Raw genomic sequence first — 25,455 nt, 5'->3', positions numbered from 1 at the left:
TGAAATGACCACAGATGCCCCCATCAAAGCCAAGGGTCTTTGCTCCAGTGAAGTGCTCCAAGACATGGCTCCCCGCTCCCTGGCTCAGAACCCCGCCTCAACTCACTCTTTCCCCTCGCTTGGACTCCTCGCACTCCGACAAGTCCCTCCAGGGCAGGCTGGAGTTGTCCTTCTGCAGCCAGAGGCCTTCAGCTGTGCAGAACCGGTACACGTGGCCCTGCGGCACTGGGGTGGGGAGACCTGGCCCTGAGCCTCAGCCCAGAATAGGGCAGCCTGCCCAGTGCTAGATGCTCCCCTTCCTCCCCATTCTGAGGGCTATCCCTGCTCCCCCAGAATGGACTACTCTGAGTTAGTGACATCCTTTTCCCTTCTTTACACACAAACACACACACACACACCTGGACCTTCCTCCCCTGACATATACGCTGTTGGTCCAGGGACAAGACAGGGGGCCACCAAGGCAGGGGCTCCTCAGCTCCACCCTCAGCCCTGCCTCTCGGCAACCCTAGGACACAGTTTAATGAATTCATGCCTTTGAGATGACAGGAGTTTAGCTCAGTTCCATGTCCCTGCCTCCAGCCTCAAATCACACTACTGACAAGGTCTGGCACCGACCAGCAGCAGCCGTGCCTGCCCCGCAGTCACTCGCTATTTCTGATTTTTAGGACTCAGTGCCCACCTCCCTCCCACACTCCTTGGGGAGAGCAGACCCTGGGAACAAGGTTGGCACTGAGTTCCCAAGAGAAGGGAAGGAAGACAGAGCACTGATCTGAGAGAGAGAGAGACACAGCCCTGCCCATAAGAAGTTCTAATCTGATGGAGGAGACACAGACCTACCTGCAAGGACCCCCTGGTCTAAAAGGAGTACACGGCCTCTTGGTCGTATGCAGCCTTGGCCTTTGGAGATCCCCCATAGAAAAAGGGAATACCCAGCTCCTACCTTCACATAGACTCTAATTATAGGTTGGAAATGGAGATAGCCCTTGGAGAGAGGAAAGGGATCCAGCCCCCGTCCTCAGGGAGCTCCCCTGTCTGAGGATGGTGGCACCGTCCCTGTCTTCAGAGAATCAAGACTCACACAGAAAAAACAAAAAAGACCTGAGAAAGGAAGAGCATAGATGGAAACTAACAGAGATCAAACACAGGCCCTGCAGAGGCAAGGCGGGGCATTGCCTGTGCCCATTCACATCCCAGCAGAGGCTGTCCCCCACCATGCCCCATGTCCACCTACCAGGGAGATGGCTGGCCTGTGGCCTCAGGTTTGATGTGAGGCTGATAGAGGCCACTGCTTACTTGTGTCCAGGAGGAAATGGTTCATTCCTGGCCTCTCTGTAGGGGAACTTAAGTTTGACACCAGGGCCAATGAACTTGGGACAAAAGGGCACAATGAGAGGGTGGGGGGATATTGACCTGTAGGAAGAACAGGGGGACCAAGGAGAGAAGCTGCAGCCAGGACAAACTTTAAAAGAGTTCAACATTCTAAAAGACTAGAAGATTTTAAAGACCAGTTTTCCCAGCTGTGGGAGGAAGGAGGGAGTGAAGGCCAGAGAATGGAGAAGGCACCAGAGGCCCACTGGGGGCAGTGGCTGCTCAGTGTTCATGTGGAGAGACAGCAGTCAGAACTGGGTCTCGGCTGGGTGTGGTGGCTCATGCCTGTAATCCTAGCACTCTGGGAGGCCGAGGCAGGTGGATTGCCTGAGCTCAAGAGTTCGAGACCAGCCTGGGCAACATGGTGAAACCCCATCTCTACTAAAAATACAAAAAATTAGCCAGGCATGGTGGCGTGCGCCTGTAGTCCCAGCTACTCAGGAAGCTGAGGCACGAAAATCACTTGAACTTGGGAGGAGGAGGTTGTAGTGAGTTAAGATCAAGCCACTAACTACTCCAGCCTAGGCGACAGAGTGAGACTCTGCCTCAAAAAAAAAAAAAAAAAAAGAACTGAGTCTCCTGAGAAGAGGCTTCATTAATGTGGGGTGTGTGTGTGTGTGTGTGTGTGTGTGTGTGTGTGTTATGTGTCTGTGTGTGTGTGTGTGTGTGTACACGATGGGGACTGTGGCAGCCCCAGGGCCTGACCCTCAGGGGTGCAGGACAGGGGCAACCATCTAGTCTGGGAGTTCTATTTTTCACCCTAGCAAAAAATGTGGCAGGGACAACTTTACTGCAGAGTCTGGTGACAGCCTCTTCCAGCACTGTCAGCAAGGCCTGCCAATGGACCTTGCCCTCCCCTAACCCTGATCCCAGACACCAGGACAGCCTCCCTGCTCTTTCTTCTCCTCCTTCCCAGCTCCTTTCCCAAACAAACCCTGAACCAGGTCCCCCTTCAAGACACAGAAATTATCTGGTAACACAGTGGGGCAAGTCAGCTTGCAGCATGACTCCTTCTGGAAGAACCTGCATTTTAAAAGATACTTCACCTGGGAGAAAAACAAAAACCTGAAAATCTAATGGTGAAACTGACAGCAGTGGGAACGATGGTGTTCCAATACCCTTCGAACGCATTTATGAACAAAATCAGGTGTACCCCCAACGGCAGAGAAGGGGAGGCACGTGGTCTGATTTTAGCAACGCGAAGGGCCCCTCTCAAGCCCACAAATGCCTCTCTTATCTGCTGCATGGATGCCTGAGATTCTTCACTGGGGCCAAGTCTTCTGACGTGAGGCAAAATCAGTGTTTTCCTGTAGATACCCCCAAAAGCAGTGATGGGGACCTGAGCTGACTCCATGCGGAATGAGATGGTGTCAGAGCCTGCACTAGCAGCCTGCTTTGATGGGAGGAAATGGGGAGAAAGGAAGAAGGTTGAGGGACCAGAGAAAAGAAGACACAGCCATGGAACCACAGGCACACAAACCATCTAAAGACCCGCATACCCAGGACTCAGCCTGCAACCGTGTGATGCTAGTAAGATGCACTTCCCACAGCTGGCACAGGGCCTGGCATACAGTAGGCACTGCCTTGTTGCAGATTCCTTCACAACATGCTCCTTACTTGCTCTTTCCATAGGCTGTGCCTTCACAGAATCAGTTTTTGAACACCTACTGTACACCTGACACCTTTGGACATTAGAACCACCTTTCAAGGTAGGAACAGTTAGTCCCATTGTACATATGAAGAAACTGAGCCTCTGAGAAGCCAAACAACTTGCCTAAGATCATCAACTAGAAAGTAGCAGAGTCAAGACTAAAATCCGCCAGCTCTTTGCCTCCGGAGGTCCCAAGTTAGCAGCCAAACTTGCTGTTAATAGGAAAGAATGTGGCATGTGCCATTCTCCTCTGCCCTTCCTCTGGGCTCAGATTTCTCAACATTCAGTCTCCTCCCAGCAGGCCCCCTTGCCAGTGTGGACCCCCGGCCGCTGCACCATTCCTGCTCCCTCTGTTCAGAGCCAGTTGGGAGGGTGGGGAGGTGGTGTGTGCACAGATGTGTGCATTACTAGCACAGAGTCAAAGGATCACTGTGTCCCTCGCTCAGTGAGCCTGTGCAAGTGCATCTGTCAATTACCCTTCATTAACATCAAATATTAAAAGCCAGGCTGGTTCCTGGCTGGGCCCATGATCCCCAGATGCCCACCTTGGCTGGAGGTGGGGTGGGTCAGGGCATAGCCCTACTTATCAACCCAGCTTTATCTGACTTGGGAGGAGCTGGTAAATCACAGCCAGGGATTTGGCTCAAGGCTTGTCAACACAGGGAGGCAGCAGGGCAGCCACATGCCAGGAGGCCCAGGGATATTTCATTAAGCCAGACCCTGCTGCTGGAAATAAAACCCCCAATTAAACACTTCCCCTCCCGGAAGCTGCTGCGGCGCCTGTAATCAAGCTAACAGCCGCCCTTCCACGTGGATGCTGGCACTCAGGGCTGTGGAGAGCTGCTCATGAATCCATTAGCTCCTGCACCCTGGCAACGAGGTGGCCAGCAAGGACTACTGGGCCCCCATTTTACAGATGCAGAAGCTGAGACTCAGAGAGGCCAGGCACAGGGCCTCCCCAAGGGAGTGAGGTGAGGGTCAAAGGCCAGGCTCGAAATGAAGGCATCAGCTCAAGGCCAGGGTGAAGGGTACTGTAGAGCATCAGGGCTTAGGAGAAGGAGCTCAGGTTCTGAACAACACAGACTCAAGTTCAAATCCTGGTTCTGCCTTCAACCAGCTGTGGGATGTTGAGCATGTCCCTTCACATCCTCAGGCCTCAGTTTCCTTATCTGTAAAATGGGAAGCATAATGACTTCCCAGAAGATAAAGCATGTGAAGTGCCCGGTACATAGTAGACCTTTGAAACATCCTCCCCCATGCCGGTTTCTTGAAGGGGCACTCCTTCACTGAGGCTGGAGATGGAGCTTGTGACACCACTTCAGCCAGAACTCCTCTGGGGACAAGCTTGGGCCTCAGTTTCCCCTTGGCAACCCCAGGCTGTCGTAAAAACCCCCAGGCTCCACATTACTCAGGGGAGGCACCCGCCAGAGTTTCCAAGAACTGTGAGTTATAGGTTATTTTTAAAGCATTTTATGACTCTCATATAATTAGAACTAAGCTAACAAACAGGTAGGGATCAGGAGGAGGTGTAGCTAATGAGGCTGGAATGATTTGTAACAAGCAGATCAGCTGTTTGTGGGTAAACGAGGCTGCTGAAGGGCCCTCGGGCGGCCAACAGGCTCTCTGAAGCCACTTCAGCCTTCTCCTCCCAGTCTCGTTTGTACCAGCCATTTCCTTTGAATATCTTCTGTCTTTGACTCATCTGCTCCTGCTCTCTCTGCACAATCCTGAGACCCAAGTTCTCAATTAGAGGGGTCAGAATTCAAGGGCTTGGCTGGCTTCTCCAGGACACTGCGTAGTTCCGAGGCCCGTGGCCTGGCCCCATGTCCAGGGTGCTGCCTGGAACCCTCATTCCTTGGAGGAGCTTCCTTTTCCCTTCTGCATCTGCCTGTTCTTTCACGTCTGGCCCCAGTGTCACCTGTCCCTGGAAGCCTTCCTAATGCCGCCACACTCCTGGCAGAAGGGGTGGCTCTGGCCTCCCTCAGTACCACTGCCTGGGCTGCTGAGCCGACCTTCAGCTCCATGGAGGGGGGTTACCCCTTCTCCCCAATGCACACACTCACACACCTCTAAGGTCTCAGTGGCATCCCTAGCTCCTAACACAACCCAGCTCAGGGGTCTGGTGATTGTTTTGACTTTTGCTGTTTCTCAGATCACCACTCCTCTGCTCCATTCTGAACTCTAGAAGCCTGAGCCATGGGACAGCACCCCTCGGCTTCCCTGGCCTCTGTTGGGTTGGGCCAGTGGGAGGCATTGGCAGAAGATGGAAGGGCAGAGGGAGAGAGAGGCTGGGTGTTCTCCCCTGCTCCCTCCCTGCCTTGATTTGAAGTCTGCCTGTGACTTTGTCCCCTCTGTGGCCACAGCCCTGCTGGGTGGCTTCTCCATTGTAGCCCAGCTGTCATGGGGACCCCCCAGCCCCATTCTTGTCCCTTCCTTCTCAGGTCTAGGGGTGCTCAAGCTTTCCATTGTTGTAGTCCCTGGTGCTTTATATGCCTCATTGGTCCCTTTACCTTGCCAGCCTCTGAAAATGACCCCTCCCCAACATTAAATTCTCTCCAAATTGCCAACTGAGCATGTTTTCTGCCAGGACCCTGCCTGAGATAACTCCCTTCCTTCTCCTTGACACCAGGGCACACTGTGACGTTTCTCCACAGGCTACTCGCTTGATCAGCCCAAGAAAGCTCCAGAACTGTCCCCTTCTTCAGAACTGCTCCCACACACCTGGGTGGGGGTCAGGGAAGCCTCCGCTGCCAACCTTTGCCAAGGAAAGCTCCAGGACAGGCCAGAGGCAGCAATTACGCAGCTTGAGCCTGTGGTAGTTGTCTCTGAGCATCCGTAACTCAGGGAGTGAGGAGAGGGCAGCAGAGTCGGTGATTCCAAGTGTCAAAAAAGGGAGTAAATTAGCCTGGTGAGTGGCAGGGGGACGGGGTTGGGGAAAGGCTGGCAGGGGGCCTGTGCAGTGGCCGTTATCTTCATGGAGAAAGCAATAAAACCATGTTTGCTCATAAACGGGCACCACCAGGACCTATTTCCTGCTCAAATAAAATTAAAGGTGATGGATGGAGCTGCAAGCGGCAGGCAGAGCTGGGGGTGGCTTAGTGCTGAGTGATGGGCCCTGTCCTACGCCTGGCTCCCTGGGGTCTAGAGGCCCAGCAGACGCTGGCCAAGCTGCCAGTCTCAAATCTATGGGAGGCAGAGAAAGTGTGTGTATTGCAGGAAGTCAGGGAGGTATGTAGGGAGGTGGGAAAAATTAACAGCTACCATTTCTCAAGGCCCTGTGGTCCTCCCGACACCCATGTCACTTGGCTCTATACCATCTCCCAGATGAGTCAACCAAGGCACAGAGAGGTCTGGCAACTTGCTCCTGCTTACACGGCTAGTCAGCAGAACCACCAGATTGCAGAGTTCATAGGAGAGGGCAGACAGCTCACCCCTGTCCCTAGAGGTGTGCCCAGACAGCAGAGGGCATCCAGATCACTCACCTGTCTCCAGGCCAGAGCCACATGCAAGGGCACACACACACACCCCCAAGGAAGACTTTGGTGTAGCAATTAGCCACACTGACTCTAAACCAAGCTTCTGGGTCGCCCACTAATGGCTGTGTGAGCTTGCAAAAGTCACTGAGCACCTCTGTGCCTTAGTTTCCCCATCTGAAAATGGGAGGGTAATCAGAGTACTTGCCTCAGAGGGTTGTGAGGATGAAAAGAGTGTAGCACGGAAAGTGCTTCCAACAGGCAGTATTGGAGAAGGCAGGCCACTGATGGGCCCAGGCTCCTGCCTCCTTCTAGGCCCAGGCTCTCCCTGCTCCTTGGGGAGAGGTGAGTGTACTGTGAGTGTGGACAAGGAGACAGTACTTTTAGGAGACCAGCCTGGGCCTCATCTGACTTCAGTCCCACGTGCCAAGGTGAAGCTTACATTGGGCCCCACCAGGCCACCTCCTCCAGGAAGACACCTGGCTTCCCCAGAGCATAACCTCATGCCCGCACTTGTTTCTGGGCCAGTTGCTGCTTGGGCTCCAGCCCCTTCAAGGTGTGATGATAGGAGCACGAATTGGATTCAAATCCTGGCTCTGCCATTGACCACATCATTTGGAACAAGTGACTTAAACTTTTTGTGCTTCAGTTTCCTCATCTGTACAGCAGGTATAACCACAGGGTAGTTATAAAGCCCTGCTTTTAGGGCAGGACTTGGCACACAGTAGGTACTCAATAAATGCTGGCTATGATGACGATGATGATGGTGATGGTGATGATGATGATGATGATGATGATGATAGGGAAATATCTTTTCTCCCCTTATGGAGACTGGGAGCTCCTTGCCATGAGGGTGCTTGTCTCCTGTTATCCTCCACGGTGCCTGGGTGAAACTGGGCTCAGCAAGGGAGGCTGGGATAGATAGCGGGGCACATTAACTAACCCTCCAGTCAGGGATCCTCTTGCAGCCTCTGCAAATCTCTGTACCCCCAATGAAATGACCTTCCCACCTACCCAGTCACATCTTCCCCAGTACAAGGTCCCCCTTGCAGGCAGGAGTGAGCTGAGGAGGGCTGAGTCTGGTGGGGTTCGTCACCCCACCAATGCCCTGATCACTTCTCCCAGTGAACCTCTAAAGAGTGAGGAAGTAGCTAAATGTCACTGCCAGGTATGGGCCACCTGCATACACATATCATACATACATGTATACACACAGCAGACACCCTGGGTAGCTTCCCTCCCCGCAAGAGTCTGTCCCCACCCAGCTCTTTTCCTGACTACTGAATTGGAAGGGGTCGCATTTCTCTTCAGACACTTACTTTCCCTTCCCCACACACTGGCCAGCACTGGCCTCACGCCCAGACCCAGGTGGTACCTCAGGCCATCATGAAACTTATCACTACTGACTGCTCCCCTCACCCCAGGAAAGGCAGGCGGACCACTCACTAGGAGGCCTAAAGACATTCTGGGTGGGGAGGGCTGTGTCTCAGAGGAAAGGAAGCAGCGCCTTGACCTCAGCCTCCTCGATACAGGGGACGGTGGGGGAGGGAGCTCACCACTGCTGACCCAGGGCAGGTACCAGGTCAGGGAGGGGGCTCACCACTGCTGACCCACGGCAGGTACCAGGTTAGGGAGGGGGCTCACCACTGCTGACCCACGGCAGGTACCAGGTTAGGGAGGGGGCTCACCACTGCTGGCCCAGGGCAGGTACCAGGTCAGGGAGGGGGCTCACCACTGCTGGCCCAGGGCAGGTATCAGGTCGGGGAGGGGGCTCACCACTGCTGGCCCAGGGCAGATACCAGGTCGGGGAGGGGGTTCACCACTGCTGGCCCAGGGCAGGTACCAGGTCGGGGAGGGGGCTCACCACTGCTGGCCCAGGGCAGGTACCAGGGGCAGCTGACATTCACGAACGAGCCTGGCTCCCCATCTGGCCAGCAGGCGTATTCATCGAAGGTCCGGTTGCAGAACAAGTCTGGGAGCAGAAAGAACAGTCTCTGAGTCCCTGCTTGTGACTGGCCATGGCCCTTTCCCTCCCTTCCCCAAGACCCCTCCCCTCCTCGGAGGCTGCATGCCACTAACCTCTGCTGAATGCTTACTGTATGCCAAGCACTTTCCCCACCCAGCAAGAGCCAAGCAGGGGCACTTGCCACTTATCAGTGGCAGGACCTTGAGCAAGTAACTTAATGTCTGTTTCCTGATCTGTAAAACAGGAGTATTTCCAGCCCCATAGGGTTTTGTGGGATCAAGACTATATGCTACATAGATAATGGAACATAGTACGTGCTCAATGAAAAATCCCTATGGGCCTATTCTTAAATTGCACTTCACAGATTAGAGGGAAATGTTAGCTTACCTTCCTTCTGATCTCACTTAAGATAACCTTCTTTAGGTCACGTGTTATAATTACAGTCAGGATTTCAACCTAGGCCCAGCGGGCTCCAATCCCGTGCTCTTTAAACCACCTTGTGAACTCCCTGAAACATTTATTCCTATAAATATGTTTGTGGAGCCCTCAGTCCATGCACAGGCTGGGAGGTGCTGAGGACAAAAATGGAAAGGCCGGGTGCCTGCTCTGAGAGGCTCTAGCTGGGGGGCTGGCCGGCGGTGCAGGGAAGGACACACAGATAAGACAGCTAAGACAGAAATAAGACAGCAACCCCAAAGCAGACTACAGCAAACGAGTAAGGGCCAAATGATGGCAGAAGTCCTGGGGAAGATTTTCTGGAGGAGGCAGTGCTTCCGCGGACTTTGAAGAAAAGGAAGATTTTGGTCGGCAGAAAGGAAGGTATCCAGGTGAAGGAGTAGCTTGGACAATGAGATGAAGGCAGAGGGCAGGGGTGGCATCCTATAGAGGCAAATGGCTCCCAGCCATGGACATTGAGTTCATCAAAGTCCTCCAGAAGTTGGTTGGGTGGGGAGCACTAAAGGTGGGGAGCCTACATGGACTCACCTGTGGCAGGAGGTGGATCCTCAGTCAGGGAGCGCTGGCACTGGCGTCGGTATTCTCGCCATTTCTGCACCGTCTCCCAGAGGGACACAGTGGCACCCTGGGGGGAGGGCATATATGGGAGGCCTGTGGGTTCAGCCAGCCCCTCTCCTGCCCCCTCACCCCCTAACACACTTGGTTTCTCAATCTCCATGAAACCTCAAAGCCCCAAATTCTGCCAGGCATCAGCCACCTCTGAAAGAGAGTGAGAATAAGTCACTGCCACCCAGGGGCCCCAGGTGGATGGTTTGACATCTTCATTCCTCCCAGGGTGCATAGCTTGATGTGTCACGAGCACCCAGCAAATGTCTGCTAAATTGATGCTTTTGGGGAGGTGGGTGGGTGAAGGAGGAAAGGAGCGTGTGTGTCTCATTTGTGATCTCTGATCTCACTTAGGAGAGAGACTTTCTGAGGGCCCAGGACTCTAAGCTCCTTCTGGCGCCTAGTCAGCCTGCCTGAGGGCTTCTTGCACTTTCAACCATTCTAGAAGAAGACACACAGGCCAGAGTGGGAGAGGAACTGAATCAAGGGTGCACAGCCCCCCCAGGAAGCAGAGTTAAGGCTAGAATCTGGAGTCCTTCAGATCAGTGACCATGGTAGAATATCGCAAGGTGTGCGGGGGCCGGGGAGAGTAGTGGCGTTCAGGGCTACAAAGAGCTGGGATGTCTGCCATTAGCATTCCTCCTCCAAAACGCACTCACTTACAGATGCACTCAACACAGCACCCCCCACCCCCTCCCCGTGCTCCCCTCTGACACAGCAACCAAATCTAATATTCAACCCAGCTTCTATCCACCCAAAGGAAGAGTCCTGAGGACATGAGGTGAAGGGGTCAGGGAGGTTCCAGAACACTGAAGTCACACGTGCAATGGGAGGGATCCCTCTCACCTGTGAGTAGGGAGAGCTGAGCCTCCACTTCCAGTGAGGTCACCGAAATGGCTTTTCAGCACACAGACCCAAACAGACCCATCCCACTGAGAATCCACCATTCCTTCTGAGTGTTTTTGTGCACTTCCTTCAGCTATGTCTTGGGGTTGTCGTTCTTTTTAGTTTTTTCCTGAACAGCCTTAAAAATTATAAATATTCGTCCTTCAGAGGCTGCAGATGCTGAAATGACCCAAGAGCCCCATGTATAAAATGTAGGACCCATACATAATTTAAAACAACATTTTGCTTTTTGAAATCACAAAAATGTCCACGTGTGCTGAAATTAAAATAGCTTCTTTTTAGAAGCTTGCCCCCTTGCCTTGTAGCGTGCTGGGCACATGCTGGATCCAGTCTCGGGTTCTAGCTGGCTTATCACACACCTCCCTGAGAGACTTGGGTTGCCTTGCTCACCCCTTGCTGCCTCGGAGGCCCCATGGAAGGGCCCAGCTCACTTTAAGCCCCAGCAGCATCCTTGGCATAAGTGTGCCAAGGCGGCAGGGGCTACCCTGAAGGACAGAGCTCTTCTGAGGGCAAAGGTCAACTGTATTTGCTTGGGGAAAAAAAGAACAAGAAATCAAACATAACAGCTGCAAAGGTGTTGTCCATGATATTAGCCACAGCTGAGGAGGTGGCACAGTTTTCATCAGAGCAAGTCCTGGTGGATCAACCCCCACCGCCCCGTTTCCCTTCTCACTTCTTCCCTCTTCTCCGGGTAAAGGGCTCTTCCATGCTGCCCCTAAATGCAGCAGCTGCTGGGGGTGGAGGGCAGAGAGACGGAGAAATCCCCCTTGGTTTCTGTTTCTAGAATGAAAGCAGACCACACACAAGGTCACTGCTGGGAACTGGGGCAGAAGGTGTGTCTGGGGCAGGCAGAGAGGTATGGAAGCCAGTTCTTCCCAGAGGCGGGGGGAGGGGTTAACGACAGCGCCATGAAGGCCAATCTGGCCTCCTGCACCCCAGGGCAGCGCTGTCACCTACTCTGAGCAGAGCTGTGGACATAAAACTATATTCAGACTGGGGCTCCCTGAGGACGGGGCTGTGTCTCCCCTCAGACTGGAGCTTCCTGAGGATGGGGCTGTGGCTCCCCCTTAGGTGAGGGATTCCTGACAGTAAGAGTATCTTGTCCCCTCCCTACACCAGATCAGGGCTTCTAAATACCTTCGAGCCTTCATCCCACCCCTGCAGGCACACACAGTGCAAACTACCCAGACTTCTGGCCTCTCCCACGCCTCGTATTTACAGAAACCATAACTGTGCCAGGTTCTGGGTGGTCGTGGGTGGAGGGGAATGCAGGGAGTATAAAGGTGACTGCAGGAGCCCTGCCTGAGAGAGTCTTCAGGCTACTCGGGGGTCAATGCTTTACAGGACAAGTGACATAACAGGGAAGGCAGTGGGTGAAAGTGTTCAGGGAGTGGTTGGGGCAGGGTTCAGTGCAGACTCAAGAGGCCTGAGGGATTGGGGACTGTGAGGTGGGGCTGGGGTGAAGGGGGTTGGAGGCAGACTGGGCTAGCAAGGAGGAGGGCGGGCACTTCAGCAGGAGGGCACAGCAGGGAAAAGGTACAAAGGTGGGGACATCAGTGCTCCGGAGAGCAGAGGAGAGCTGTGGACTGTTATCAGGAGGATTTTTTGGGGCAGGGAGAGAGTGGTGGTGGGCCCTGGGACAGATGGGAGGTTCTGGTCTGGGGAAAGACTGAGTAAATGAGGCTAGGGCCACCCAGTGCCATAGGGCCTGGGTGCCCAGGTAACATAGTGGAGGCTGAACAACCCTGGCCTTGGGCTCAGATCTGGGCCTGGACCTGGGTCACCCAGATATTAGGTTTGCAACCGAGTGCAAGAGTTGTATGTTTTAGGCTCAGCTTACACTTGTGCAAAAGGGAACAGCAGCCCCTCCCCCATGGGATGGCTGTGGGGACTGAGTTAATGCTTAGGATGGTGGGCACATGGAGAAGGCTCAGTCAATGGCAGCAATCCCCATGATTTCTACTGTTTAGTGGAAAGGGCAGAGTGGGAGGGAGTGACCAGGCTTCCTGGGGACTGGGGCCCCACCCCTTCCTCACTTCTAGGATCAACATATTCCCAGAAAGAGGAAATGAATATATGTTCATGTCCAATGACCAATCATTCTGCTTAATTTGTGAGATCTTCCAGCAGTAACCACAGCCAATGGCAAAGTGAAGCAGGGAGGAAGCTTTGGACCCCATGCCCTGTGAGGAGGGGCAAGGCCCTGCCCACCAGTGTCCCCCACTCCTCCATTTCATCCTCCCACAACATAAGTCCCTGCTGCAAGCCTGACAAGGTGGGGCTGTGGGTTCTGGGTAGCGGGAAGGATGCAATCCAGATGTCCCTGTCCCTCACAAGGCAGCAGAGCTGACCAGGAGAGCAAAGCAGCGGTCAGAGGGGGTCTAAAGGGCCATGGGAAGGGCAGGATGGCAGTTTCTAGAATCAAGACTTGACAGGCTTCATGGGATCTCTCTGAGGTGGATGAAGGCACGTGGAGACGACACCTGGGTTGGAGGTTACAAGAAGGAAGGGGCATCCCTCAGATTCAGGAGTTTTTGGAGGAAGCAGGAGACAGGAAAGAGGACACCAGGAGGGAGTGGTGTGGTCTACAGGAAGGAGCACTGGACAGCGATTTATAAGTTCTTGGTCTAAATCCCAGCTCTGTTAATGCAGGACTGTGGGACACGATTTATCTTTTAGGACCTCAGTTTCCTCATCAGTTGCCAGTTCTGCCGTCCATAAAATGGGCATATCATTCTTCTCAAACTGCACAGATCCAACAAGATAAAGCAGGTGAAAATCTTTGTGACTTCTCAAGCCCTGTACAAGCAGGCAGCGTTGGAAGGAAGGACAGCAGAGAAGGAAGCAGGTGGAGTGGAAGCCCCCGGGGTGGTGGGCTTTCCAACACCCCAGGAAGGGGCTCCCTCTCCAAACACTGGCTGCCAATCTGAAAGGCACTCCTATTTCTCAGTGCGAATAAGTGTATCAGATTCTTTCTTTCTCTGGGGACCATTTTGGTGACGGGAAGGAGGTGGCACAGAGGTGGGAGACATGCAGGAAGGCCTCTCAGAAGGAGGAAGGAGGGATTCCAACTCAAATTTCTGGAGTCCCCCAACTAAGTCCAGCCCTTCAGGTTCCCTGGCATCTCCTCCCAGGACCCCAACCTCCTTCCTCTGTGTCACCTCCCAGAAGTCAAATCACCCCTTCCATCAACAGACCCCTGTCTCTTTGACCGCCCCTTGTTTTTCTTTCTTTCTTTCTTTTTTTTCAAAAGCTCAGAGCTTACAATCCATTTTTTTTCCCTAAGGGCTTTAGATATCTGAACGAAAGGACAGGAAAAGGAATACTACACACATGTTCTTACAGTCACAAAAACCCCCACGTGGACACACGGTCACACGCATCATCACACACGCCCCCAAGCACATTCCCAATACTGAGACACTGACACAGACTCTCTCCCACCACACACAATCACTCACAGACTGCCAGGTACACAGTCGCATGCTGAGACACTGTCCCCAACACACACACACAGAGGAACACACAGACACTCTCACATGCACACTATCTCTCCTGCACATATAGACACACACTAGTTGACACCCATTCACACACCAAGATGCCCCCCCCCCCACACACACACACAGACCCTCCCACAGACACAGTATCATATGCAGGGTCACAAAAACATAGACACTGTCAGATGTACAGTTGCATGCTGAGATGTTGCACACACAGGGACTCATTCCCACACAGACTGTTACACACAGGGTCACTCACACATACCTGGGAACTGGGGGTTCATATAGCCTACTCCCTTCTCCCCCTGGTCTGTCTCAGACTACCTGTCTGTATCTCTGTCCCCTCCTCCAACCACCACCACCACCACACACACATAGGAATTTTCCTAGGGGCAGGCTGCAGCTGAGGAAGCCTGTTTTGCCTTGGTGCAAGGCATTCGAGGGCAGGATGTGGTTTCTTGGTTGCTCCTGCCCCAGCCCCCAGCCTGGGTCCTGTCCAGGAGGAAACCCAGCTTAGAACAATGTCCGCACTGATCAAGGCTCAGCCCTGGACTCCACCTGCCATTCACTAGAGTACAGAGACCCAGGGTCTCCAACAGCCCCTCTCTCATACTATCCTGCAGCCCTGGAAAACACTTCTGGATCCCCAAGGACAAATGGGTCAGTTCTGCCATTTGACTAAAGTGACTAAAGTTGCCATTTCAGGGGCCAGTGTCTCAATCCCCTCCATAACCCTATGTGATAGAGCTTATGATCCTTATTTACAGATAAGGACATGTATTGGGGATAACCAAGTGTCCAACTCCAGATCACCAGCTAATAGCAGACCCTATATTTGAATCCAGTTGTGTCTGATTTTAACTTTGAGTGTCAAAGGCTTGCCTGTCTCCTCAGTAGGCCCGCTCCCTCACCAGGGTATTGGAGAGGTAAGGACCAGGGTAGGGGAATGAGCCTTCCCAGCAGCAATGAAAGAGTAGCCTAGGGCACCTTCTTCAGAAGTCAACTCAGCCATCCCCCTACCTGCAGGGATGCTGTTTCCAGCCTCACGAGACCTGACAGTGAGCAGCTCACTCTCAGAGGTCTCCCTTCAGTCCCGTCTGAGTAGGAGGTGTTAGGTCAAGAGCCCAGCCCTTCACCCCTTTCTCTTCCCTGCTCCTGAACTGCTGGGCTACTTTATACAGGGGACCCTCTTTTTCTGAGCTTTCATTCCCCCATCAGCAACATGAGGGGAGTAACTCTAACCCTTTTGACTTCATAGACAGAAAACAAAATGCAAAATACACTATTTTTTAGTCTTATAAGCACGCATGATGTTGTGTCATAATTGTTGCAATCTATCCTTAACACCTCCTGTGACTCAGATCTCTGTGGCAGCTCAGTTTCCCATGACAAGAGCACCCCCTCAAAGCTCCCCTCCCTGCTAGGACCTGTCCCCTCCTATCCTTCTCTACCACCCCAATCCTGTTATGCCCCCAGGATGCCCAGCTTTTGCCTTAGGCCTGGGGCTAAGGAGTAAAATCGGATCAGAGGAAAGTGTGGGTTCAGGAGCCTGACACTTCTGGGAATAAGGCCTCTGGGAAGACAGCTCACAGAAACTTTCCTCTTCCCTTTGCTTTCTTCCCTTCATTCAAACCAGACCTGTAAACCTGGCCTGGAGGAGGATGGAACCAGGAAGCAGAGCCTCCACCCCTATCCCAACCCAGTCCGTAAGAGGAGGGAACGATGGGCAAGAACCACATCTTGGGTCTGCAGCCCTGGCCCCTGAAAGATCCCAGCCGCACCAGGAAAACCAAGGCCTGGCTGGGGGCGCTGTGAGGAAGGTGTCTTGGAAGGGGGAGGTTGTCTCCTGGGGCTCAGGACAGCAGCTGGGCTGGGGAACAGGGGCAGGGAGAGGATGCGTCTGGAAAATAATCTGGGGGCTGAAAAATGTGCTGGCATCTTAGCTGAGAGGTATGTCTGTCCACATCTGGGGTTTCCGCCGAGGTGGAGTCTGCCCTCACCAAGGCAATGGTTCTGGGACAAACTTCAAGGTTCGTTCAGGTCCACTCCCCACAGATCTCAGTTCTTTAGGTCTGGGGGTAGCAGTGGGAGGTGATAGGAAGAACCTGTTTCCTGACCCAGGACAGGCCACCCAAGTCTATGTCTCCTCTCTGCTCAAGCAAGTCCCAGCATCTTTGGACAGCTCCCCTCTTCAAAAGCAGCTGACCACTGTCCCTAGCCCAGGATCCCAGGGCAGGAAAAGCAACAAGGGCAAGAGAGAGGGGCTGCGGTGGTCCACCTGTGGCCTGCTCTCTGGTGGCACCAAGGAGCCCAGGTGTTCTTGCGTGTCCCAGTATGCCTTCTCTTGGGGCCTGCTGTCAGTGCAGGATGAGAATGGGAGGTCAGCAGAGTGGGTGAGTGGGGGCGCCTGGCTGCTTCCAGGGGGGCACTGAGCCTTCTGCCTGTTTGCTACAGAGGCTGGTAGGGGACGGGGGGTAGGTTCCATCTGGGAGGTCACTGGGAAGGACAAGCTGCCACCGCAGGGCCCCAGGAGCCATGAATCAAAGGCTGTGCTGGGGGCTGATGAGAAAGGGAGAGGAGCCGGGTCTCCGCACCCTGGCCCTCTCAGCTCCTCCCAGGGTCTTCTCAGGGTCTTTGAGCAGGTGGATTGTCTGGGGAGGCACTGCGGGAGAGGGGTCTGGGTCAGACTGTGGGGCAGAGGGAGTCCGGGAGGATGCCGGGCTGTGCCAGGGCCGCTGACACGGTTTAGAAGGAGTTGGGAAAGTGCTGGGGACAAAGGAGAAGCGGAGCAGAAGTCAGCGCAGGGCGGCCGCGGGGCAGCGGGTGCCCGGGCAGAGGGACCCGGGTGGCGAGGAAGAGGGCGCCTCGCTGGGGTTGGGGGGAATCCTCTGTAGTCCAAGCCCTCACCTGGGCCTTCCAGCCCAGGGGCACCAAGTCTCCAGTCCCTACTCCCCCCGAGGCTTTCGGATGCCCCCGCCAGCGGTCTCGGAGTTTCGTTCAAGTCCCGGGGCCCTCCACCAGGACACTGCGCCTGCAGCCCGCAGAGCCACCCGCCTCCCCCGGTGTCGTCGGGGTCCCTGGATCTCACCTGGGGGCGGGGGCCGGCCCTGCCCACCATCCCGAGCAGCAGCAGCGCAAGGCGCAGCGGGCCGGGGGCGCCGGCCATGGCGGGGAGTTCAGGACTGGGCCATCGCTGCCACCTGCGGAACCGCGTGCGGAGACTGATCCCGGGCTGGTGGCGGGCGGTGGGGGAGGAGCCGGCGAGGGGCCGCCCTGCCCGCGGGAGGGGCCTGGCAGGGTCCCGGTTCTTCCGGCCGCCAGAGACCCCTGGGCCCGCCCCGCCGCACCCCTCTGCCGGTCCCGGGCCAGGAGATAGCGGGCACTGCTCTCCGAGCGAGCGCGGCTGGGAATCAGGAAGCGCAGGAGGCGGCCACCAGCTCTGAGCGCCGACAGTGCGCCTGGCCGGCTTTCAGCGACAAGCCAGGCCCTCCTCCCACCCTGGCACCCCGGACCTCCTCCCGGGTCTCCCAGCTGAGGAAAGCTACAGCAACCCCCGCCCATTCAGGGTCCCTCAAAGGAAACTGAGGCCTGAGGAATGGACGGGACTTGTCCAAGGTCACACGGCTTGGCAGGCCACTCCTGGAAAGTATCCTCAGAGCCAGGGGTGACTAATAAGAACTTTTTTTTCCCAGGATTACCCCTTCCCAGGTCCTCTTCTCATTCCCATGTTCTGTCCTGAAGGCAGGCCCAGGATAGTCAAGGTTGGGGGTGGGGAGACTGACAAATGGATCCACAGAACTCTGACAGTCGCAAGGGTCTAGAGGTTCCCCTCTACCTGGAAACTTCAGCATTGCAGGGCAGGGAGGGATGAGGCTGGGGTCTGCCTTTCTGGAAGCTTCCCTGCCACCTCTTGCAGCTCCAGCCTCCTGCTCTTGTAACCTGTGTATGTGTGATAATGTGTGTCCATGGTTGTTCCTGCCTTCTTTATCTCTCTCCCTGCTTCGCTTCTTGGGGACTCTGGATCTTTCCTGTCTGTTTCCACTCCCACCCCTAAACACTGCAGGGCCCTCAGGTTCCCTTCTTACACCCAACAAGTGGAAAGAGAATGCTAAGAGGGCACTGACTGTATCTTCCCTAATGCTCTTGAGAAGTGGGGATGGGAAAAGAGGATCCCCCACCAAAGAACCTTGATGCCACTCTTAGGAAAGATGAGTTGTGGCAGAGCCCAGCCTCGGACCTGCCGTGGGGCATGTCGACTAAAGGGACAGGAAGTTTGTGAAAGTAGCTACTCCTGGGGAGAGAACTGAACTTCTCAAAGTCCTGAGGAAGGCTGGACCTGCCTGAGCCCAGGGAAGGAGACAGCCAGTGGGAGGGGCCCCTGGCTTCCATTCACCAGGAGAGACTCTCCTCTCCAGCAAGCTCTGGTTCCACCACCTGAGACTCGTTTATTCCCTCCCCTCCCAAGAGGTCAGTCTAGCAGGGACCTTCTAGGTATCACTTAGGATTAGGTTGTTCACCTGGGAGTGACAGAAAATCCCACCCCAAACAACAATGGCATAACCAAGGGCTCTCTCATGTAAAGCAAGGCCAGAGGTTCAGCCCAAGGTTGGAGTGGCTGCTCCCTGATCATCAGGGTGCCTGGGTCTTCTAGCTTCCACCATCCTTTGGTCCAAGATTTCCACCTCATGATCCAAGGTGGCTGCTCCAGCCACGATATCCAAATTCCAACCAGCAGGAAGGAGGAATGGGAAGGAGATGGGTGCACCTCCACCCATAAAGACACATCTTGAAAGTGGCAGCCATCAATTCCACACCTCTTGCTCAGAACTTAGTCACATAGGCACTGCTAGCTGCAAAGGAGGGTGGGAAAAGCACCCTCTATTCCAGGCAACCATGGGCAAGGTTAAATACTGGGCTTTTATACTCTAGAAGAAGGCAAATTTTAAAAAAGATACTGGAAGTGAGTTTTAGGCACTGCTATATCAAGTTTAGGGTGGAGAGAGGAGAAAGGAAGAGATAGAGAAGCTATTCAGACAGAACTGGGGTCTTTATCATGAATTTGTCAGCCTCCAGATTACATTGATTCAGCAAGTATCTATCGAAAACCTACCATGTGCCAGACACCATTCTAGGTCCTGGGGATACAATTGGTGATGCTGTCCCTATCTTCAGAGAGATTATATTCTAATACAGGAGGGAAACATTAAATAATTATTGGAGTCATTTATAATTGTGTAAGCACTATTATGGTAAGCAAATGCCCCCAGTACTTATAAGGCCATGTTTTCTCTGCCAGGGGGCTTTCTCTGACTTGGAGAACATTTTTGCATTCAGCCAGTGCAGGGTAGGTACCCCTAAGAGCAGCTGTCAACCATGGATGGACAGGAGTGGATGGATAAATACCCCATCCAGAGGTGTGTACCACAGTCTCCCAGAGGTCCCCTGTGCGATGGAGCCCAGCTTCCCACAGCAGTTACCTGCTCAGTAATGCACCCTGTGTTGGCTTCATTTCCTCACTTGTCCCACTTTCCCACAGTAGGGTACCAGTGCTTCCGGGGTCACACCTCACATAAACAATTTGGCTGGGCATGGTGGCTCACCGTCTGTAATCTCAGCACTTTGGGAGGCCAAGGTGGGCGGATCACCTGAAGTTGGGAGTTCGAGACCAGCCTGACCAACATGGAGAAACCCCATCTCTACTAAAAATACAAAATTAGCCGGGCGTGGTGGTCCATGCCTGTAATCCCAGCTACTCGGGAGGCTGAGGCAGGAGAATCGCTTGAACCTGGGAGGTGGAGGTTGCAGTGAGCCAAGATCATGCCATTGCACTCCAGCCTGGGCAACAAGAGTGAAACTCCGTCTCAAAAAATAAAATAAATGAAAAATAAATAAATAATTTGTCCTTAAATCCTTATCTCAGGATCTGCTTCTGGGAGAGCCCAGCTGAAGACAGTGGGCATATGAGGGTATTTAGGAAGCTCAGGGCCTGTCCCTCCTCTTAACATCTGGGGGTCCAAAAACCTCTGAGTTTGCTGTGATGCTAGGACAGAGTATGGACTCGGGAATACAGTTTCCTTCTTTCCCCTTGCTGTTACCAGGGCCTCTCACTCAGGCTCCTTAGAGCAGAGGAAAGGATGAGCTCCCTAAGAGCAGAGATTTGAATGGATGGCATACTGTTTGGTAAACTGTTAACACCTGTAATCCCAGCTACTCGGGAGGCTGAGACAGGAGAATCGCTTGAACCCAGGAGACGGAGGTTGCAGGGAGCAGAGATCATGCCACTGCTCTCCAGCCTGGGTGACAGAGCAAGACTCCATCTCAAACAAACAAACAAGCAAAAACCCTTGAAAACAAAGACAATAGCTACTACTTATTGGGCCAGGAGCTGCTGAATGCTTGGTGTACCCTGATCTCATCCAGTATTATGCACAAGTGTTATTGTGCCAATTTTATGGATGAGGAGACCGAGGCTCAGGTATGAAAAGTGAGTTGCCCATAAAAGCAAACAGGGCATTCATCCCAGGTCCACCTGCCCTGAGAGCTGGTGCCGACACCCCCAATAGGCAGCTGAATTTGTGGCAGCACAGAGGATGCAGGCTGCAGCTCAGCCAGCCTGTCCGGGAGCACCTCGCTCTACAGCCCAGAGCTCCGGGTCCTGCTCCTTACCCTTAGGCCCAAGGCTTCTCCAGTGACCCTAGCGTGGGGTGCCCTCAGCTTCCACTAAGAAAATGTGGTATTGAGATTGTCTTCAGAAATAGGAATGGGAGCAACTGATGTGTGCTCCTGAGGAAAAGGTGCTGTAAGGCCCATTCGCCAAGGAGGCAGACCTGAGAGCAGGCCACCCGGCCCTCTTTTGTCTTCAACAGGAAAACCTTGTCCCTAGCAGGAAGACCAGGTCAGTGGACAGGACAGATTTTTTTTTTTTTTTTTTGAGACAGAGTCTCATATTGTCACCAGGGCTGGAGTGCAGTGGCGACACTGCAACCTCGCCTCCTGGGTTCAAGTGATTCTCCTGCCTCAGCCTCCCCAGTAGCTGGGATTACAGGCACCTGCCACCACGCCCAGCTAATTTTTGTATTTTTAGTAGAGATGGGATTTTGCCATGTTGGCCTGGCTGGTCTCGAACTCCTGACCTTGTGATCCTCCCGCCTCAGCCTCCCAAAGTGCTGGGATTACAGGCGTGAGCCACCGCGCCCGGCCCAGGACAGATCTTTCACTTGAGAGGAGGCAGGAGGGAGAGAGAGGCAGGAAAAGAGAGGGAGGTTGTAGAGTGGAGAGGAGGAGAGGGAAGGAAAGGGAATTGCTAGAAAAGACAGGTGTCTCTTCTTTTTTTTAATTTTTTTTTTGAGACAGAGTCTCGGTCTGTCACCCAGTCTGGAGTGCAGTGGCGCAATTTCAGCTCCTTGCAACGTCCGCCTCCCGGGTTCAAGTGATTCTCGTGCCTCAGCTTCCCAAGCAGCTAGGATTACAAGCTTATGCCACCATGCCCAGCTAATGTTTGTATTTTTAGTAGAGACAGGGTTTCACCATGTTGGCCAGGCTGATCTCAAACTCCTCGCCTCAAGTGATCCACCCACCTCAGCCTCCCAAAGTACTGGGATTACAGGCATGAGTCACTGAGCCCGGCCAGGACAGGTATCTCTTGCACGCATAGTTCAGGTTTCTTTCCAAGCTCCATGTCCCTAAGAAACTCATTTACTTCCCAAAGTTCAAGACCACATTCATCTTCTGAGTGATGAAATAAGGAAAGAGCCAGCATTTTTTTCAACCTGATATAAACACACATGCATACACATACCTAAACACAGATTTTTAGAGTCTGACAGTCAAATCCATCTCAGTCACTTACTCTGTATCCTTAATAGCACTAAACCTTGGTATAAAATGGGTCCAGTAATAAGAACCAATATTTACCGAGCATTTGCCTTGAGCCAGGCACTGTTTTAGGAGCTGTATATGTGTTATTTCATCTAATGCTCACCATCGCCCTCAGGCTGGCCCTTGCCAGACAGTCTGAAGATCTGCTGCTGAGAGAAGGCAGAGACCTCAGCAGTGGGCCAGGAATCCACTTTCTGCCAGGAGAACCTGGCTGCCAGCAAGTCCTGGGGGCAAAGGGGGGTATCACGAGAGGATGCCTCTTTAGGTAAGGGCTCTACCCCTCCACCTCCTGCTTCTCTTCTCAGACCCTGCCCTGGGAGCAACCCTGAGTTGTAGAGTGGGATTTTTTTTTTTTTTAGATGGAGTCTTGCTCTTGTCACCCAGGCTAAAGTACAATGGCATGATCTTGGCTCACTGCAACCTCCGCCTCCCAGGTTCAAGTGATTCTCCTGCCTCAGCCTCCCAAGTAGCTGGGATTACAGGCTCCCGTCACCACGCCCAACTAATTTTTGTATTTTTAGTAGAGATGGGGTTTCATCATGTTGGCTGAGCTGGTCTCGAACTCCTGACCTCATGATCTGCCTGCCTTGGCCTCCCACACCTGGAATTACAGGTGTGAGCCACCGCGCCCGGCCCATTTTTTACCCCAATTTTACAAATGAGGATGCTGATCCCCAGTGCACTTAGGTATTGAGACAGCCCAGGAGAGCCTGGATGCAAACCCCCACAGACCCACACACTAACTCCCCATCCCACATTTATCACCTTGCAGGATAGTCTGACTATCAGAAGCAGCACTTGCCCAGAACCTGGCACAAATAAGTCCTAGTAAATGGCAATGTTAACACCACTGTTATTCCCCACAGCCCTCTATCTTCCCTGCTGCGGGTGCACCAGCTGTGCCAGGTCTCATCCAGGCAGCAAGTACAGCTGCTAATGCCCAGGGGCTCTGGTGCAGAACATCACTTCCTGGCTCAGGTGGCTACAGTCAGATCCCCCAAGTCTAGATGGGGAGGAGGTCTGCCAGGGCAAAGGGTCCCTTCCTCTGTGGTAGACCATCACTGCCCCCCATTTACCAAGCCAGCCAAGGTTACCAGGTGCTGGGTCCTGTCCAGCTCCCAACAGTCAGCTGTGGAGAATTTACAACCTCTTGAGCTACAGTGATTACTGCTCTCGTGGGCGGATGCAGCACGCTGTTTTTCTGAAGTGTTATAGCATCATTTTTATAACTGGTTTTTCTGTTGAGAAAGAACTCAGTGGGATCACACCCACTTTACTGGGAGGGAAACTAAGTCTCACAAGAGTCAGGGGTTTTGCTCAAGGTCATTTAGGAAGGTGCCGGAAGGGTTTGTACAACTCTGGACCAAAGAAGAGAAAAAAAATGAGATGAGAACGGCAAAGTTCCTCTCTCTTCTCCACATGGGGACTCTAGCCAGAAATGACTGGGCTCCCTTGCTCTCTCCCAGGAGGGATTAGTGTCAGAAGTGGGGAGAAGGTGAGAGAAAACCCAGGGGAGGGAGGGAGTCATGGGTGGAGAGGCTTGGCAAGAATCATAGAACCAGAAAGTACCTATCAGCGAAGATGGTAGCTATTGCGCTAAGAGCCACCTATTCTCTTTCTTTCAGACAAGGAGATTGCACAGCACAGCTGGCTGGATGCTCCTCAAATCTGAGCATATAGTGTATTTTAGTTTCCTGGGGCAGCCATAACAAAGTTCCACAAACTGGGTGGCTTAAGCAACAGAAATTTGTTGTCTCATCGTTCTGGAGGCCAGAAGTCTGGAATCAAAGTGTTGGCAAAGTTGGTTCCATCTGAGAACCATGAGGGAGACTCTGCCTGCCTCTGTCCCAGCTTCTGGTAGCCTCAGACATCCCTGGACTTGTGGGTGGCCTTCTGCCTGTCTTCACATGGTCTTCCCTCTGCACCCACATTTCTCTTTTGTATAAAAATGTCAGTCAGATTAGAGCCCACCTAACGATCTCATTTTAACTCGATTATTCTGTAAAGACCATATTTCCAAATAAGGTCACATTCTGAGGTACTGGAAATTAGGATTTCAAGATATCTTTTGCTGGTGAGTGACAACTCAACCTATAAGACATCAAGACTACATTCCCAGGTTCCCTTGATGTTTAGGGTGGCCAAGGTAATGTGGAGAAAAGTAACACAGGCCACCTCCAGGATGGGCCCATAAGACCTTTCACACCCTCTCTTCCTCCATCTACCATGTTGGACACACATGGTCAGTGGAGAATGCCAAAGCCCCAAGGGATGATGGAACCTCAAGACAGAAGGGGCCTGGGTCCATGAATGACTGTGTGGAGCAGAGCCTCCTGCCAACCCATGTTAGATTGTAGTATGTTAGGCCATCAAGATTTGGGGCTGTTTGTCATTGCAGTCAGCCCACCCAGACAAGCCCAGTGGCATATGTCCCTGAGCTTATCTGGGGGCAGGGCCAGTTAGTCCAGGCAGAGGGGCTGCTGAAGGTTTCCTCTATGTAAGGGCAATTAAGTAAATGAGGTTCCTCACTCTGGGCCCATCTCCTCCTTTCCTACTCCCTTCACCTTACTCAATGGATCACAGGGTCAGAAAAACGATTCTGGATCTGTGCGGCCGTGGCTTCTGGGCCAGGAGAGTAGATTCATTTGTTTTTGTCCATCTAGCCCCAGCTTTCCCCACTTGTCTGCCTTTTTCTCTGGAGGAAAGGTGGGGAGCTGGGGAAGAGGTGTTATGACAGAGCCCACACTGCCCCTTCACAGAATTAAAGCTCTTGTGGGTAAAGAGGAAAAGTACCAAATTTCACACATTTGGAAATCAAATGAAAAAGAAGTGTCACACGAGGCCTTCTCACTGTCACCTTTCAGCACCTCCGGCATGACTGAGAAACCTACTGAGACCAAAATGAGAAATGAAACCAACTTTAACCCTTGTCTGAAATAAGAGGTTTCCTCAGACTAACATGTTGACTGGCCCAAGGAGCCTGCTTCCCAGAAACTGTCCCAACTGTTCCCCTCATTGCCCCTCAGACCTTCATGGGGAGGAGAAGAGGCCAGCCAAGCACCCGAATTTTCTCTGAAAAGAATGGCCCTGGAGCCAGGAGTGGGGAAGCTGCTGCTGGCTTTCAGGGACAAGGATTAGCACCAGCACTGAGTAAAGCTGCCTCAGAGTCCCCCCCAGGTAAGGAAGGAGGAGTTCTAGGGCAGGCAGGATCCCAAGGCAACAGGCTGACCCTTGTCTCTGAGCCTTCTGGGTCTCCCTTTCACTTACCACACTCAGGTTAGACAAAATTAGCTCCCCTGGTTCCACATAAAGGGAATTTGATAACTCACTCATTCCCCTCTCCTAAATAAAAGAAAACAAACAGAAAATGGAAAATCTGAATGTTTCTGGGCCAACTCCTCTTAACAGTCAGCACCACCATGCCTTTGTTCTCTGGGTATGGGCTCAGTGGTCATCTCCAGCCACCTTGGACCTTACGAGTCACACCTGGGATCTAGCTGGAGGTGCAGCCATCTAGGACTGAGCCTGCAGGTGTCTCCTACCCCTCCACAGGCTGACAGCCCAGAAGATTTCATTCTCGTCTCAGGTCATTTCCCTCAGTCCCATCTGACTTGTGATGTGGCAACGCGTCAGAATTTAAAACCGGCC

At 53.2% G+C, this 25,455-nt stretch overlaps 1 protein-coding gene across 3 annotated transcripts in view, besides 3 other annotated features; it reads right to left on the bottom strand.

Moving 5' to 3' along the window:
• Positions 1-17,155, bottom strand: part of GLP1R (glucagon like peptide 1 receptor) — a 42,523-nt gene extending 25,368 nt beyond the window's left edge. For all 3 annotated transcript variants that reach the window (NR_136563.2, NR_136562.2, NM_002062.5), the window contains exons 1-4: positions 17,018-17,155; positions 9,443-9,539; positions 8,357-8,464; positions 107-225 (exon numbers count right to left, since the gene is read on the bottom strand). Coding sequence is in view for 1 of the 3 variants with exons in the window: in NM_002062.5 (NP_002053.3) it covers positions 107-225; positions 8,357-8,464; positions 9,443-9,539; positions 17,018-17,095 (402 nt within the window). In the remaining 2 variants the exon portion in view is untranslated. The remainder of the gene's footprint in view (positions 1-106; positions 226-8,356; positions 8,465-9,442; positions 9,540-17,017) is intronic.
• Positions 10,834-11,333: an enhancer, noted in NCBI's record as "H3K4me1 hESC enhancer chr6:39022379-39022878 (GRCh37/hg19 assembly coordinates)". NCBI's record gives its function as "activates a minimal SCP1, AML or CMV promoter by ChIP-STARR-seq in naive and primed H9 embryonic stem cells {active_cell/tissue: H9 hESC(naive and primed)}" and the evidence as "EXISTENCE:reporter gene assay evidence [ECO:0000049][PMID:30033119]".
• Positions 11,334-11,835: an enhancer, noted in NCBI's record as "H3K4me1 hESC enhancer chr6:39021877-39022378 (GRCh37/hg19 assembly coordinates)". NCBI's record gives its function as "activates a minimal SCP1, AML or CMV promoter by ChIP-STARR-seq in naive and primed H9 embryonic stem cells {active_cell/tissue: H9 hESC(naive and primed)}" and the evidence as "EXISTENCE:reporter gene assay evidence [ECO:0000049][PMID:30033119]".
• Positions 15,971-16,471: an enhancer, noted in NCBI's record as "H3K4me1 hESC enhancer chr6:39017241-39017741 (GRCh37/hg19 assembly coordinates)". NCBI's record gives its function as "activates a minimal SCP1, AML or CMV promoter by ChIP-STARR-seq in naive H9 embryonic stem cells {active_cell/tissue: H9 hESC(naive)}" and the evidence as "EXISTENCE:reporter gene assay evidence [ECO:0000049][PMID:30033119]".
• Positions 17,156-25,455: the final 8,300 nt, after the last annotated feature.

Source organism: Homo sapiens, chromosome 6 (assembly GCF_000001405.40).
Source record: "Homo sapiens chromosome 6, GRCh38.p14 Primary Assembly".
Classification (NCBI taxonomy): Eukaryota; Metazoa; Chordata; class Mammalia; order Primates; family Hominidae; genus Homo; species Homo sapiens.
This window is presented reverse-complemented; position numbering and strand designations above follow the sequence as displayed.